Source organism: Homo sapiens, chromosome 1 (genome assembly GCF_000001405.40).
Source record: "Homo sapiens chromosome 1, GRCh38.p14 Primary Assembly".
Lineage (NCBI taxonomy): Eukaryota > Metazoa > Chordata > Mammalia > Primates > Hominidae > Homo > Homo sapiens.
The window spans coordinates 161,165,727-161,180,168 of record NC_000001.11 but is presented as its reverse complement, the minus strand read 5'-3'; the positions used below and the strand labels follow the sequence as shown (position 1 = coordinate 161,180,168).

Sequence of the window (14,442 nt, the reverse complement as noted above, 5' to 3'; positions counted from 1 at the left end):
TCTGTCTCAAAAAAAAAAAAAAAAGGTAATTTTCAGAAGAAGGTAAAATTATGACCCTTAAACTGTTGAAGAAAAAATTATTCTGACACTTGTTAAAACAGTAAGGAAGACTATTGCAATAGTCAATGAGCAGAATCAGAGTCAGTGGATGGAAGGAAAATTACATTAAGGCTAGGAGGATTCTTGCTAAACTGACCTAACAGGATCTTTCCTGAAGGCAGGTGAGGGTGATCAGATAGATCAGCTATCAAGGGTGGAGAAGCGGGCAGGGAATTATCCCTAAACTGACTTGGCAGGATTCTTGCTATAACTGGCTAGGCAGGCCCAAGACAGCGCATAAGGACAAGACCTAGCCAAAAAGAGGCCTTAGAGGAGCCTGTTGAAAGTCTGGTTAAGGAGATGGTCTTTGTCAATACCAACATAAAAATGAACACATAGGCCGGGTGCAGTGGCTCATGCCTATAATCCCAGCACTTTGGGAGGCTAAGGTAGGTGGATCATGAGGTCAGGAGTTCAAGACCAGCCTGGCCAAGATGGTGAAATCCCGTCTCCACTAAAATACAAAAATTAGCCGGGTTTGGTGGCGGGAGCCTGTAATCCCAACTACTCGGTAGGCTGAGGCAGGAGAATCGCTTGAATCCGGGAGGCGGAGGTTGCAGTGAGCTCAGATCGCACCACTGCACTCTAGCTTGGGTGACAAAGCAAGACTCCGACTCAAAAAAAAAAAAATTCTCCTTGAAGACTGGGTATTTGGGAAAAAAAAAAAGGAAAGGAAAGGAAAAAAAAGAAGGAAGGGAAGGGAAGGGACGAAGGGAGGGAGGGAGGAAGAAGGGAAGGAAGGAAGGAAGGAAGGAAGGAAGGAAGGAAGGAAGGAAGGAAGGAAGGAAAAAGAGAAATAAAATTAAGAGGCCTGATGCTGTGGCTGACGCCTGTAATCCCAGCGCTTTGGGAAGCCAAGGTGGGCAGATAGTTTGAGCCCAGGAGTTGGAGACCAACCTGGACAACATGGTAAAACTCTGTGTCTTCAAAAAATACAATTAGCTGGATGTGCTGTTGTCCCAGCTACTCAGCTACTCACGGGTCTGAGGTGGGAGGATCCCTTGAGCCTAGGAGGTTGAGGCTGCAGTGAGCTGTGATCTTGCCACTGCACTCCAGCCTGGGTGACAGAGTGAGACCCTGTCACAAATTTTTAAATTAAAAAAAAAAAAGTAAACAAAAAGGCCGGGCGTGGTGGCTCACACCTGTAATCCCAGCACTTTGGGAGGCCGAGGCGGGTGGATCACCTGAGGTCGGGAGTTCCAGACCAGCCTGACCAACACAGAGAAACCCTGTCTCTACTAAACATACAAAATTAGCCGGGTGTGGTGGCGCATGCCTGTAATCCCAGCTACTGAGGAAGGCTGAGGCAGAGGTCGCGGTGAGCCGAGATAGCGCCATTGCACTCCAGCCTGGGCAACAGGAGGGAGACTCCCTCTCAAAAAAAAAAAAAAAAAGTAAAGAAAAAAGAAATTAAGAAAAGAATGAACACGTGTTTATTTTACCTAACTCATGAAGAAACTAGCAGATGTTATAATTAATACAAGAGAAAATCTAGAGAACGGACATATTTATGGATCAGGAAAACAGAAATGAATATGAAAATGGACGCCAAAACTGCTTTTTTTCCCCACAGTGTGGGGAACAGCAGGTTAATTGAACCTCTACCAGACAGGATAGAATTTGCATACAGATCAGTTACCTACATGAATTGTAAAATAACTCCCATGAAAACAGAATCTTTAAAGCAGAAGGATATGCTATAGACAAGTCCTTCAGGTTTCCCATTAGCCATCACTTCTGGGAAGCCTTTCTAGAATCTCCACGTATGAATGAGTTGCCACTTCTAGGCCAGCATATTTATCACGTTATATTGTTTACATCCCTCCCTCCATACAAGATACACAAGACCATGGGCTTTTTGGGGCAGATTCTGTGAGTTATTCAAGTCTCTGATTGCTTCTTCAGCGTGAATATCTGCTTCTAAGGAACACAATATGCTAGGCGGTAGTGTTTGTCGTAAGGTAAACATATTGCATGTTAACGGAGCATCCATTTTACTCTAATATCTGGGGAAACATCATTTGACTTTAAAGAAGACGCTGTCTTTCCCTCCACCTTCAATGTTTCATTGTTTTATTAACTAATCGCTTTTTATTTCCAGGCCTGCGGGATACAACGGGAATACAAAAATGCGCTAGAGCGGTCCGCAACGCTGTAGCCTGCGTAAGGAACAATTGATACTAAGTGGCACTAGGCTGCAGGGGGTGCCACTGACACACTGGGAGAGGGCTCAGCCAACCACAAGGTGATAACGAGGTCAGCGGAGCACCAGAAACCGGCTCACTAGCCTCCTGATCAGTCTCGGCCCAGAGGAAAATGAAGGGCTTGAGCTTCTGCTTTTACAAATCTGAGGGGCAGGAAATGAAATCCCACTAGCAGTCTGCGTAGTGGAGTTGAACCCTAGCACCCGCTCCCCAGGGGGTCGCCTACAACGCGTTCCAGGTGGGCAGGCTCAGGCGCTGCTCCCTCACAAGCCCCCGGCCACGCGGTGTCTGGGACCGGGTGCCTAGTCAGCCCGGGTGGCTCCGCCCCGAGGCCCCGCCCCATGACGCGAGACCCCGCCCCCGCAGCGCCCGCTTCCAAGATGGCGGCAGCGATGCCTGCCCGGCTGTTGGGGTGGCGGTGACGACAGGCAGCAAAAGACCAGGTATGTGCGCTGGGAATGCGTCGACACGGAGGCCTGGGATAAAGGTTTGGGCATTCGAGAGAGTGAGAAGTTTTGGGTAACGCCTGGAGACGAGCCTGAGCAGGGACGGGGTCCTAGGTGGAAGTATGGACGGGGGCCGGGCGGGCTCACGTTGCTAGTAGGTAGGGCAAAAGCAAGAGACTGGGATAGGATGGGCGTGCTCCGAAAGAGCTGGGTTTTAACCCCCTCCACAGCGCGGACCACGCCCCTCTAGGTGAGCCCTTCCAGCCACCCCTGACTGTCTCTGCCCCTGCTCTCCCTCTCCCTTTCTCTTCAGCAGTAACCCTCCTCCCCACCCCCGCTAGAAGAGGGGAAAGGTAGAAAAGGTAGAGGACGCCACCCCCACCCTACTCTCCGCCGAGCTCCGGGGCTGTTCGCTTACAGCCCCCAGGTGGTCACGGTCCCTGCACCTGAGGAGTTGGCACCCAGGCACATGAAGAATAGAAGGAGCCTGTTTCCTACTTCGCCCTGGGTACTCCTTAGGCCACTCCACGGTCCTGTCATGACTCTGTCGCCACTTCAACTGGTTCTTGGTCTGGGGGAAAACAATGTTTCCATTAGCTGTCCTGTCCCCACTCCCCAATCTGTCCTGTTGGGGTGGGGGTACGGGGGTGGTTAAGTATGAACCTGACACTTATCATTCCAGGGTAGCACGGGAGATAGGCGAGGGACCTACCATCTCCTGCTCCTCCTCTTCCTTTCCAACCACTTTCCTTCACTTCGCCTGCTGGGAAACCAGCTTCACCCTGATCCTGATCTCTGGCGGTGCAGGTAGCTAGTTATCCTTTACCACTTCTGTTCCAGCTGGTCCCAGATTCGCTGCTGGAGTGCTGGATGGAGCCTTTCTCTGCCCTCTGTGACATTTCCAATTTTAGATAATGCCTCACATCTCTGTCCCCCCGGGACCCCCTGGAGCCCCCATGATCCCTAAGAAGACAGCTTGAACCTAGGTGAGTCTATCTCTTCCCTTCTAAAATTGGAAGAGGGGGTTCTCTAGAGACTTTCTGAAATGAACATGAGATTTGAATGATGTAAACATTTTTGGGGGTGAGGACTGACAGTAGATGGTGGGAGTGGTTTGGGGGGAGGTAGAGGAGAGCGAAACTTGGGCTGAAGTGACAGGTGGTAGGGTTACTGGTGGTTACATTCTGTTTCCTTGCGTGACTGTGCACCTGTGTGCTCCCTTCTGTGACTTTGTTTTCTGCTTTTTCCTCTTTACCCCTGGCATCACCTTCAACCCTACCTACTGACCTCTCTGCTGGCTTGCTCTCTTCCTGCCTACCCCCAGAATTCCCCTCTCCCTCCCTAGATCTCACCCCCAGGATGTTGCGGAGGCTGCTGGAGCGGCCTTGCACGCTGGCCCTGCTTGTGGGCTCCCAGCTGGCTGTCATGATGTACCTGTCACTGGGGGGCTTCCGAAGTCTCAGTGCCCTATTTGGCCGAGATCAGGGACCGACATTTGACTATTCTCACCCTCGTGATGTCTACAGTAACCTCAGTCACCTGCCTGGGGCCCCAGGGGGTCCTCCAGCTCCTCAAGGTCTGCCCTACTGTCCAGAACGATCTCCTCTCTTAGGTAAGTGCAGGAGGAAGGAGGTGGTGAAAGGAAGGACAAGGTGCGGAGACAGGGAGGCTTGGGGATAGGGAGGCATGGAGTGGCAGAAGTGGAACTTAGAAGAGGATAGGTAGGCTGAGGCTGCAGGTAGGCTGAGGTTGAGATAGAGGGCTGAGGTTGAGATAGAGTAGACTCTGAATTGGGAGTTTAGATTAGACTATTGGGTTTCCACTTTCTACTGCTTGTCCCTTTATGGGCTCTTCCTGCCCCAGGCTAGGAATTGTTTTCCTTGTAGATGAGCCCTGGTTTAATTAGTTGCAAGTCTCTCCAGCCTTCAACTATAGCTTCCAACCCTGTAAGACAGGAGAAAGTTAGGCAACCCTAAAATAAGAAGAGAAGGCTAGGTAAGGATCCTGCACCTTCCAGCCTTTGTAGAGCTGTCCCAGTGATAGGTAATCCAAGGCATGCGAGATTTCTGAGTGAGCCCTGAGAACTAAGCCCCAGAACCAGACTGCCAGTGTCAGAGGTATTCCCAAACCCTAGTTTGATTCTTTTCTCTTTGCCCCTCTGATCCCTCTACTTGCCATTCCTTCCCAACAGTGGGTCCTGTGTCGGTGTCCTTTAGCCCAGTGCCATCACTGGCAGAGATTGTGGAGCGGAATCCCCGGGTAGAACCAGGGGGCCGGTACCGCCCTGCAGGTTGTGAGCCCCGCTCCCGAACAGCCATCATTGTGCCTCATCGTGCCCGGGAGCACCACCTGCGCCTGCTGCTCTACCACCTGCACCCCTTCTTGCAGCGCCAGCAGCTTGCTTATGGCATCTATGTCATCCACCAGGTACCCCCAATCTCCACCTCATTTTGACTGACTTTCTTCTAAGGAAGCCTCAAGCACATGCCACTTCACTTTCATCTAAATGGGTCCCTAGAATAATTTTAAGAAGGCCAGACTGTTAGAGTGTGGAGAAGCACCCGGCACTGCTCTTCCAACTTTGTTAGTCCCATACTTTTCCTTAATCTGCTTAGGTTATTCCCACTGTCCTACACTCTCCTGTGATTTTTTCTTTATTGAATGGCTTGTGCAGAGTTGGAATTGGACACAATAGGGCTAAAATTCTAGTTCCGTCACTTGTTACATGTATGACTCTGAGCAAGATACTTAAACATCTAACATGAGGAAAGAGCATAAGATAACTAATATACCATCTGTTCCACACCACACCATTGTTGGTTGCCAATTGTCAGGATTAAATGTTAGACAGCAGCATCTTAAGTATCAGGTCCATACCAATACACAAGCAAGATTTGTCAAATGACTAAGTGGAAAAATGAAAAAGATAGTCTTTCTTTTTCATTCTCCTTGCCCTCCACCCCACTTTGATTTCCCTCTTTTCACTTTTATTCTTTTTTTTCTTTTTTTTTTTTTTTGAGATCTCACTCTGTCCCCCAGGCTGGAGTGCAGTGGCACGATCTCGGCTGACTGCAAGCTCCACCTCCCGGGTTTTACGCCATTCTCCTGCCTCAGCCTCCTGAGTAGCTGGGACTACAGGCGTGTACCACCATGCCCAGCTAATTTTTTGTATTTTTAGTAGAGATGGGGTTTTACCGTGTTAGCCAGGGTGGTCTCAATCTCCTGACCTTGTGATCTGCCTGCCTTGGCCTCCCAAAGTACTGGGATTACAGGCGTAAGCCACCGCGCCCGGCCTTCACTTTTATTCTTTAGCCCCCTTTTCTCCGTGCCACCTACAGACATAGTCTGGTTCCCCTCCATTATCTTCCAGGCTGGAAATGGAACATTTAACAGGGCAAAACTGTTGAACGTTGGGGTGCGAGAGGCCCTGCGTGATGAAGAGTGGGACTGCCTGTTCTTGCACGATGTGGACCTCTTGCCAGAAAATGACCACAATCTGTATGTGTGTGACCCCCGGGGACCCCGCCATGTTGCCGTTGCTATGAACAAGTTTGGATACAGGTAGAGGGCATGGAAGGGTACTGGGAAACAGGGAAGCCTACTATCCTGTGGAAGGAGGAGAGCCAAGCGGATTGTGGTTGGGGATGTGTCCCCAGAAGACTCGGGGTATGCAAGGATCTTTCTCTCCCTAGCCTCCCGTACCCCCAGTACTTCGGAGGAGTCTCAGCACTTACTCCTGACCAGTACCTGAAGATGAATGGCTTCCCCAATGAATACTGGGGCTGGGGTGGTGAGGATGACGACATTGCTACCAGGTCAGACTTCCTGCCACTTCCTCCCTCCTGACCCCAGTCTGGATCCCTGTCCTCTAAGACCACCTTTGACCATAGCCCTTCAACACTAACCTTTAGCTCCCTGGTCCTGCACTGAGCCCATTCCTTTCCCTTAGTCTTTTTAGGATACCCAGGTCAGGCTTGCATGCTACTGCCCATTGTGTCATCCTTCAGTCTCCTGGTTAGTTTGTTCTTGGGAGAGGACATAAGATCAATAGGAAATAGTATCGTCGGATTCCAGAACTGGAAAGGGGCCCAGAGACAGCTTAGTCTTGCCTTCTGCTGGGGTTCCAGCCAGGCCACTTCCTATGGGGTTAGGAGAGAGGGGCTCTGCTCCATGTTCCCAGAATCGCTTTGTAAAAGGCCTGTGCCATTGGCACAGGGCCAACTCATTTTTAGCATGTGAAACATTCTGACCTTCAGCCTCAGCTGACCCAATTTCATGTCTGTGGTATGAATATTTGGGCTTGGTATGCAGGACCAATTGCCTCCATTCCCCCTGTGTCCTCTGTGATGACATCTCTGTGAATTCTCATCCTCTGTATGTGTGTGAAATACCCAGTGAATTGTAAATATACATAAGTATTCTTCTAGTTCCTTCCCAGGCCATCTGCACTCCATGCTTCTGTGTGTCAGAAGTGGAGTTTGTTTCTTTTAAGGTCCTGATTACCTGGTTCTACCCTTTTCTTTTCTTTCTTTCGTTTTTTTTTTTTTTCTTTTTCTCTAGAGACAAGGTCCCATTATTTTCCCAGGCTGGTCTTGAACTCCTGGCCTCAAGTGATCCTTCTGCCTTGGCATCCAAAAGTGCTAGGATTGCAGGTGTGAGCCACTGCACCTGGCCTACCTTTTTCTTAACATGGGGGATGTGGGAGAGAAGCTGGGGTAGCTCAGTCACTATTCTAAGATTCTCAGCAACTCCCAGTCTTCTCTTATTCTTTTGACAGAATGGCCTCTCTCTGCGTCCTTCCTAGACTGCAAGGGCAGCTCCTAGGAGCCCTTTAGGAAGCCAAGGGAATAGGTTGCCAACTGTTTAAAGGCCCTAGGGTGACTGGCACTGGGCCCTGAGGATTTGGATACATCCAGCTTTTATATTCTCTTCAGCCATTTCCTTCTTTCTGTTTGACTTCTGTCCTGGGCTTTTTTTTTCTTTTGCCTACTAAGTAATAGTTGTTTTTTTGTGTGTACAGAAACATTTAATCCCTTCCTTGCTTTTCTCTACTCTGGATCCCCCATGATACCCTCACTTTTCCCATAGGGTGCGCCTGGCTGGGATGAAGATCTCTCGGCCCCCCACATCTGTAGGACACTATAAGATGGTGAAGCACCGAGGAGATAAGGGCAATGAGGAAAATCCCCACAGGTAGGAAGAAGGAAGGACTGCCTGGGAATTGTTACTGGATCCTCAGGGTTCTGTACCCCTAGCCAGGAAAATCCTAAAGGTCCCTAGATTTCTGGCTGTTCCTTTCTGGGTCTTAGTCTCCAACCTCTAACCCTCAGATTTGACCTCCTGGTCCGTACCCAGAATTCCTGGACGCAAGATGGGATGAACTCACTGACATACCAGTTGCTGGCTCGAGAGCTGGGGCCTCTTTATACCAACATCACAGCAGACATTGGGACTGACCCTCGGGGTCCTCGGGCTCCTTCTGGGCCACGTTACCCACCTGGTTCCTCCCAAGCCTTCCGTCAAGAGATGCTGCAACGCCGGCCCCCAGCCAGGCCTGGGCCTCTATCTACTGCCAACCACACAGCCCTCCGAGGTTCACACTGACTCCTCCTTCCTGTCTACCTTAATCATGAAACCGAATTCATGGGGTTGTATTCTCCCCACCCTCAGCTCCTCACTGTTCTCAGAGGGATGTGAGGGAACTGAACTCTGGTGCCGTGCTAGGGGGTAGGGGCCTCTCCCTCACTGCTGGACTGGAGCTGGGCTCCTGTAGACCTGAGGGGTCCCTCTCTCTAGGGTCTCCTGTAGGGCTTATGACTGTGAATCCTTGATGTCATGATTTTATGTGACGATTCCTAGGAGTCCCTGCCCCTAGAGTAGGAGCAGGGCTGGACCCCAAGCCCCTCCCTCTTCCATGGAGAGAAGAGTGATCTGGCTTCTCCTCGGACCTCTGTGAATATTTATTCTATTTATGGTTCCCGGGAAGTTGTTTGGTGAAGGAAGCCCCTCCCTGGGCATTTTCTGCCTATGCTGGAATAGCTCCCTCTTCTGGTCCTGGCTCAGGGGGCTGGGATTTTGATATATTTTCTAATAAAGGACTTTGTCTCGCATCTGCTCCTGCTTTCTGCATCCCAGGCACACTTTGCCTCTTTGCTGCCCCGCATTCTTATGCCTATAGGTGATAGAACAGCCAGACCAAGCCAAGCTCCAGCAATTTTTATTTTCATGAATGAGAGTTGGGGATCAGCTGTTAGGTTCTGTGCCCAGGACACTGACTGCTGCCTGGCGCCCACTCTCTATACAGTCATTAACAGCAACTCCCTCATAGGAGGCTCCAGCCAGAGTCAGGGGCAACCTGTGAGCAGTCAGGAATTGCCTAGCTGACTCTGGAAGGAAAGGATGAAAGGAATGTTTTAGCTGGGGGTCTGATGTCCTTGGCCCTCCTCAGCCCAGCTGTTTTCCCAACTTACCTAGTTTTTGCCAGTGACCTAGTGTATACTGGGGAATGCAGTTCTGAGAAGAGAGGAGAGGATGCAGGGAAAAGTTTATTATTGATGTCCTAGGCCTTGGCTGACATACAGTGACAAATGTTCCAGTCTCTGTCTTCAAGGCCTTCAGTGGAGAGCTGAGGGAAGTTTATCCCAACTTACCTTGTGTAGATGGACCAAGCAGTGGCTCGGCATCTCCTTCAGTCCTAATTGTGTAGCAGCTGCTTCCTGGGCCCGCTGTTGAAACAGCTCCTGAGATAAGACACAGCCACTAGCCTCCAGTGTCTGTAACCAGGAACCTCCCAGCATCACCTAAGGAGGGAATATAGCACTGATCAGTCTGGCCTTGCCTACAATGGAGCACAGAGGAGCCCTCTGGAAATGCCACTAGGCAAAGTTTCCTCCTCCTCACAGTCACTCTGAGGCCAGGGGGGCTCCCGTCCTGCTCAGGGAAAGCAACTGAGTCATACACGATTCCCAGGACTCCTGGATCTTCTGAAGATGGCACCAAATGTCCAAATCCCTGGAGAGAAGGACATTCATGCGTCAGAAGGAAAGGGCTCTAGCTGAGGCTGTCTCTCCTTCCCATTTTTTTGGGGGGGTGGGGGGGACAGAGTCTCACTCTGTCACCCAGGCTGGAGTGTAATGGCGAGATCTCAGCTCACTGCAACCTCCACCTCCTGGGTTCAAGCGATTCTCCTGCCTTAGCCTCCCGAGTAGCTGAGATTACAGGTGCAAGCCACCACACCTGGCTAATTTTTGTATTTTTCGTAGAGATGGGGTTTCACCATGTTGGCCAGGCTGGTCTCGAACTCCTGACCTTGTTATCTGCCCACCTCGGCCTCCCAAAATGCTGGGATTACAGGTGTGAGCCACCATGCCCAGCCTCTCCGTCCCTTTATCATACCTGGACAGGCAGATGGGCTCCTTGGTACTGCAGATTCACCACAGCTACAGACACTGCAGTGATGGCACTCAGGGCACGAGCCAGAGGGGCAGCCTCAGCAGGGAGCAGCTCACTGAGCACTAGAGATCAGGCAGAGGCCTGACTCAGAAGGCATTCCCATTACAGTTGTCAGTCCTCTTTGGGATTAGACTCCCATAGAGATGACCAGTTCAGGGGCATGGTGTGGTCCTGCTGACCCAGGAAGGTATAGCTTTTGCTTCTCACTGGTAGGGGTTGGGGAAGGGGAAGGTGGCTATTCCATTACCTGAAGCTGGAATGGCACTAATAACGTGGTCAGCCTCCAGACTGCTGTCCCTTAGAGATACCTGAGAGCATGAAAACATTTGAGAGACCCAGAAAATGAGAATTTGATGAGTGAAAAGAGACTTCTGGTGCCTCACTCTCAGTTTCCCAGGCACCCATGTGGCCGGGGAGACTGTGTACTGACCCAGGATGAAGAGATTGGGTGACTATGTAGACTTCACAAAAAATCATTCCTCTGTGTACTCCAGGAAGTGGACCAGACAGGCCAGTGTGGCTGTTCTGAAATGTTCAGTGAAGCTGGGTTCTTTCCCCTATCTCTAAGCCACTTATAAGTACTACTTCTATCCACAGACTTGCATAGGCTCTTTGAGGAAGGTTCACAAATAGGGCCTAGGATTCTGGGGTAGCCCATGTCTAAGTAGCTTCTAAGGCACAAAAACAATGAGGAACTCCAGTCCTATCGGCCCTGGCCTAGTTAAGCCACTTGGATAAAGATGGAAACACTGACAGGTTCATTACACTCCAGGGGTTCCCCTACCTTCCAGCGCCCTTCTGCCTGGAGGCTGAGCCCACAGACCGGCTGGCCTCTGAGAACACTGACCCCCCTACTAGTCAGGTGGGTTTCAAGGGCCTGAGGCAACATCTCTAGACCTCCACGAAGTGACCACTGGCTCCAGCGCTCAGCCAAGGCCTGGCGAATGAGTGCTGAGTCTGGCTGTGGGGTCCGCCCTGCAGAGGAAGCAAAGAAGAATCATTGAGGCTGGATGCAGTGGCTCACACCTGTAATCCCAGCACTTTAGGAGGCCGAGGCGGGTGGATCACTTGAGGTCAGGAGTTTGAGACCAGCCTGGCCAACATAGTGAAACTGCATCTCTACAAAAAAATACAAAGATTAGCTGGGAGTGGTGGCACATGTTTGTAATCCCAGCTACTTAAGAGGCTGAGGCAGGAGAATTGCTTGAATCTGGGAGGCGGAGGTTGCAGCGAGCCGATCTGAGATTGCACCACTGCACTCCAGCCTAGGCAGCAGAGCAAGACTCCGTCTCAAAAAAGAAAAAAAGAATCATTGAATAGCACCCCTTGTCCCCACTCCCTCACTTTGGCAGTACTTAATATTTTCACCCTCTGAATCAATCCCCCCTCACCTGCCCCCAGCAGCAGGCCCAGTAATATGGAACGATGGGTTTGCTCAGCTTGGAAGAGACTGGGAAAGCAGGACCTGATGCTGAGCTCACGGCTGTTGCCTGCAAACACTCCACGGCAGAGACTGTCCATGGCTAGAGACGCCACCTTAAGGGTGAGACTAGGACTAAGGAGCGAAAAAATAATCTACACTGACTGATTTCCACAGCCCCTATTTGGTAGGGAATGAGGGTGGGATAGGGTTTGGGTTGGGGGACATTCCCACTGTGACGGATGGAAATGAAGGCCTTCACTCCCAATAATGAGTTTTGGGAATTATGAGGGGGTGGGGTATGAAGAGAAGAGGGCATCCCCAAATGATACAGAAGAGCCCCTAGGTGGTAGATTTGAACAGGGAGCTCTGCAGCTGGTTTAGGAGGGAAGAGGTTTGGGGCCTCTGGGCAAGTGTCACCTCAGGTCCAAGGCGGCGCTGGGCAAAACTGTGCACAGTCTCATCAGGCTCTTTGCCCCGGGGCTTGGTCAGCTCCCTCAGCCCAGCCCAAAACAGAGGTTTGGAGAAGGGGGGTGAAGGGCGGAGTAGCCCCCTGCATGGAGAAAGGCATAGTGAGGGGGAAGCTCCTGACATACCTCCCCAGCTCCAGGCGCTGGGGTCATTTCCACTCATTTGGCTTCCTTTTGCTGGGAAGGCTGACAGGGAGATGAAGAAATGGAAGGCAGGTCGGGCGTGGTGGCTCACGCCTGTAATCCCAGCACTTTGGCAGGCCGAGGCGGGCGGATCACAAGGTCAGGAGTTCAAGACCAGCCTGGCCAATATGGTGAAACCCCATCTCTACTAAAAATACAAAAACTAGCCAGACGTGGTGGTAGGCACCTGTAGTCCCAGCTACTCGGGAGGCTGAGGCAGGAGAATCGCTTGAACCCGAAAGGCGGAAGTTGCAGTGAGCCAAGATCGCGCCATTGCACTCCATCCTGGGCGAGAGCGATACTCCGTCTCAAAAAAAAAAAAAAAAAAAAAAAAAAAGAAAAGAAGAAAGAAATGGAAGGCATATGAGGATGAGGGCACAGTAAAAGGAGCGGAGGTGCTGGTGTTACCTGAGGCCAGTGGGTAGGGCATGCAGGGCACCGCCCACGTAGAGGAACCTGTTCTGGGCAGCTGGGTGGTCTCCCCGGACAGGCAGCACTTCTGAATCCAAGCCAAGCTCAGAAACCTGCTCTCCACATGCCCTCAGAAGAGGAGAAACTAAGGGAAGATCTGACCCACCAAACATACTTCCTCCCCTAAACTCTATTCCCCAATGGAAGCCCCCTCCACAACCTCTCCTAGACATCCCACAAGCCTCTCACCAGGAGCAAGGTCCGGGCCCCTAGGGCTCCCGCTGGCCTAATTCCCCGAGGTCCAAGCTCAAAGATAGCACCATTAGGGCCTCGAACGGAGCGAATCCAGCCTCCCAGACGCTCACTGCTCTCCACTAGGACCACCTGGCGACAAGAGGGAGAGACACTGCAGCACCGCCTGTAGCCGCCGGCGAGAGGTCAGGAGGGGAGGGGAAGAGGCATATTCAGAGGGCCAGGATCCATCTAGCTTTTGATGGAAATGGGAAGAGCATTAAATGAAGCTCCCTCTGGCACAAGTGGAGCACTCACCTTAGGGGGGCAGGGGGCCCGGCTCAGGTGGTAACTGGCGGCCAAGCCGCTGATGCCTCCGCCCAGCACGACCACGGTCCGGCCCATGCGGAAACCTGGGGGAAAGGGGGCGATATGGACAGGCAGACCGGGGACAACCTGCGCTCCAGAAGCCCCGCCGGTTTTGAGTTCTATCCCGGCCACTCACTGCTTTAGGGGAAACTAAGTGTGCACGGATGGGCTGGTGGAACAGCGAGGTCCCCGTCCAGGGGCCAGGACTCACCCACAATAGGTAGGGATGAGAGAAAATGAGGGAGAAGGAGATCGAGGTCCTAAGACCGTACCCCGCCGGCGCTCTGCTGGGTGCAGATAAGGGCCACACCCTCGCTATCGGCCCTCGCAGGGCTCGGGCGGCGGGCAGTACGCCTGAGTTCTGAGGTGCTCTGCTTGCCACACCTCTGTAGGCCAACAAGTGCTTCAAATCCGCTACTCCCACCCCCAGCCTTTTCGGTCTCTCCTACGCTCCGTCCACTCTGTTCTCGCGGCACGCGCCTAACCCTACCTCTCCTACATCTGGATTGGCGGGACTTGGAAGGCCCCGGATCACGTTCACCAATAAAACATTGAACTGGCAGAGGCGGAGCGACGGCAGCTGTAAGAGCTGGAGGTTAACCGTGTTAGCGCCGAGCTGGGAGTGAGCGGCCGTACCCGTCACTGCCCTCCTCAGGACCGAGGCGGCGAGCGCTTAATGCTGGAGTTAGCGTTCCCCAGCACAAGCTTACCAGGTCCAGCTAGGGTGACAACCCTAGAGGGAAGGCCGCAGGAGCTTTGGTCGTAGGGAGAATAGATAGGGACACTTAAGGCCAGTCCACGGGGAGGCGGCTCCATAAACAGCTCCTTGATGTTAGCAACAGACCGGGCCTACGGGAGCTAGGGCCGCCCGGCAACGTACCCAGTGTTTGTCAACAGTGGCACTCCCCCATCGCCGACCAAACCAGTCGCCCCAGAGCCTGCACGCAGCCTCACTCAAGTATGCCTTTCCTCTTTTCCTCCCAGTACATAACCTTCACTGCTGGGGGACACAGGTCCGGGTCCAGCACCATCCCCGAAACCTTCCCCCTCGGCTCTGAGAGCGCCCCCACCTGTTAGAGAGGGAACTTGGGTCCCAAGAAGACTCCAATTTGGCTCAGTTCTCTATCACCCCCTAAGCAAAAATACAAATAAGCACA

The 14,442-nt window shown here is 52.0% G+C and overlaps 2 protein-coding genes across 42 annotated transcripts, besides 7 other annotated features; one reads left to right on the top strand and one right to left on the bottom strand.

Moving 5' to 3' along the window:
* Positions 835–1,336: an enhancer, noted in NCBI's record as "H3K27ac-H3K4me1 hESC enhancer chr1:161148623-161149124 (GRCh37/hg19 assembly coordinates)". NCBI's record gives its function as "activates a minimal SCP1, AML or CMV promoter by ChIP-STARR-seq in primed H9 embryonic stem cells {active_cell/tissue: H9 hESC(primed)}" and the evidence as "EXISTENCE:reporter gene assay evidence [ECO:0000049][PMID:30033119]".
* On the bottom strand, positions 2,156–14,441 carry PPOX (protoporphyrinogen oxidase). 31 transcript variants are annotated; one of them, XM_047423581.1, is made up of 13 exons: positions 14,356–14,441; positions 13,235–13,329; positions 12,935–13,069; positions 12,683–12,813; positions 12,042–12,174; positions 11,593–11,737; positions 10,986–11,176; positions 10,449–10,509; positions 10,145–10,263; positions 9,650–9,760; positions 9,400–9,549; positions 3,168–3,320; positions 2,156–2,779 (listed from the first exon to the last, which is right to left on the bottom strand). In XM_047423581.1, exons 2-13 carry the CDS (start codon positions 13,319–13,321, stop codon positions 2,606–2,608), a joined length of 1,590 nt encoding a protein of 529 aa, XP_047279537.1. In that variant the 5' UTR covers positions 13,322–13,329; positions 14,356–14,441; the 3' UTR covers positions 2,156–2,605. The 31 variants fall into 31 exon arrangements, 30 of the variants coding, with proteins under 30 accessions (XP_047279537.1, XP_011507965.1, XP_011507966.1 ...); XM_011509663.3 differs by lacking the exon at positions 14,356–14,441 and adding an exon at positions 13,996–14,314; XM_011509664.2 differs by lacking the exon at positions 14,356–14,441 and adding an exon at positions 13,996–14,313 and having other exon boundaries at positions 12,683–12,798.
* B4GALT3 (beta-1,4-galactosyltransferase 3) lies at positions 2,201–8,859 on the top strand. 11 transcript variants are annotated; one of them, XM_047433401.1, is made up of 9 exons: positions 2,201–2,746; positions 3,063–3,257; positions 3,590–3,735; positions 4,095–4,361; positions 4,941–5,176; positions 6,120–6,310; positions 6,442–6,564; positions 7,838–7,942; positions 8,105–8,859. In XM_047433401.1, exons 4-9 carry the CDS (start codon positions 4,109–4,111, stop codon positions 8,127–8,129), a joined length of 933 nt encoding a protein of 310 aa, XP_047289357.1. In that variant the 5' UTR covers positions 2,201–2,746; positions 3,063–3,257; positions 3,590–3,735; positions 4,095–4,108; the 3' UTR covers positions 8,130–8,859. The 11 variants fall into 11 exon arrangements, with proteins under 11 accessions (XP_047289357.1, XP_005245623.1, XP_047289358.1 ...); XM_005245566.3 differs by having other exon boundaries at positions 8,080–8,859; XM_047433402.1 differs by having other exon boundaries at positions 4,074–4,361.
* Positions 2,475–2,974: an enhancer, noted in NCBI's record as "H3K27ac hESC enhancer chr1:161146985-161147484 (GRCh37/hg19 assembly coordinates)". NCBI's record gives its function as "activates a minimal SCP1, AML or CMV promoter by ChIP-STARR-seq in naive H9 embryonic stem cells {active_cell/tissue: H9 hESC(naive)}" and the evidence as "EXISTENCE:reporter gene assay evidence [ECO:0000049][PMID:30033119]".
* Positions 2,475–3,002: a biological region, named in NCBI's record as "H3K27ac hESC enhancer GRCh37_chr1:161146985-161147484".
* Positions 2,573–2,742: a silencer, noted in NCBI's record as "silent region_1473". NCBI's record gives its function as "represses an Ori minimal core promoter by ATAC-STARR-seq in GM12878 lymphoblastoid cells {active_cell/tissue: GM12878}" and the evidence as "EXISTENCE:reporter gene assay evidence [ECO:0000049][PMID:35858748]".
* Positions 2,953–3,002: a silencer, noted in NCBI's record as "silent region_1472". NCBI's record gives its function as "represses an Ori minimal core promoter by ATAC-STARR-seq in GM12878 lymphoblastoid cells {active_cell/tissue: GM12878}" and the evidence as "EXISTENCE:reporter gene assay evidence [ECO:0000049][PMID:35858748]".
* Positions 3,842–3,891: a silencer, noted in NCBI's record as "silent region_1471". NCBI's record gives its function as "represses an Ori minimal core promoter by ATAC-STARR-seq in GM12878 lymphoblastoid cells {active_cell/tissue: GM12878}" and the evidence as "EXISTENCE:reporter gene assay evidence [ECO:0000049][PMID:35858748]".
* Positions 12,025–12,688: an enhancer, noted in NCBI's record as "H3K27ac-H3K4me1 hESC enhancer chr1:161137271-161137934 (GRCh37/hg19 assembly coordinates)". NCBI's record gives its function as "activates a minimal SCP1, AML or CMV promoter by ChIP-STARR-seq in primed H9 embryonic stem cells {active_cell/tissue: H9 hESC(primed)}" and the evidence as "EXISTENCE:reporter gene assay evidence [ECO:0000049][PMID:30033119]".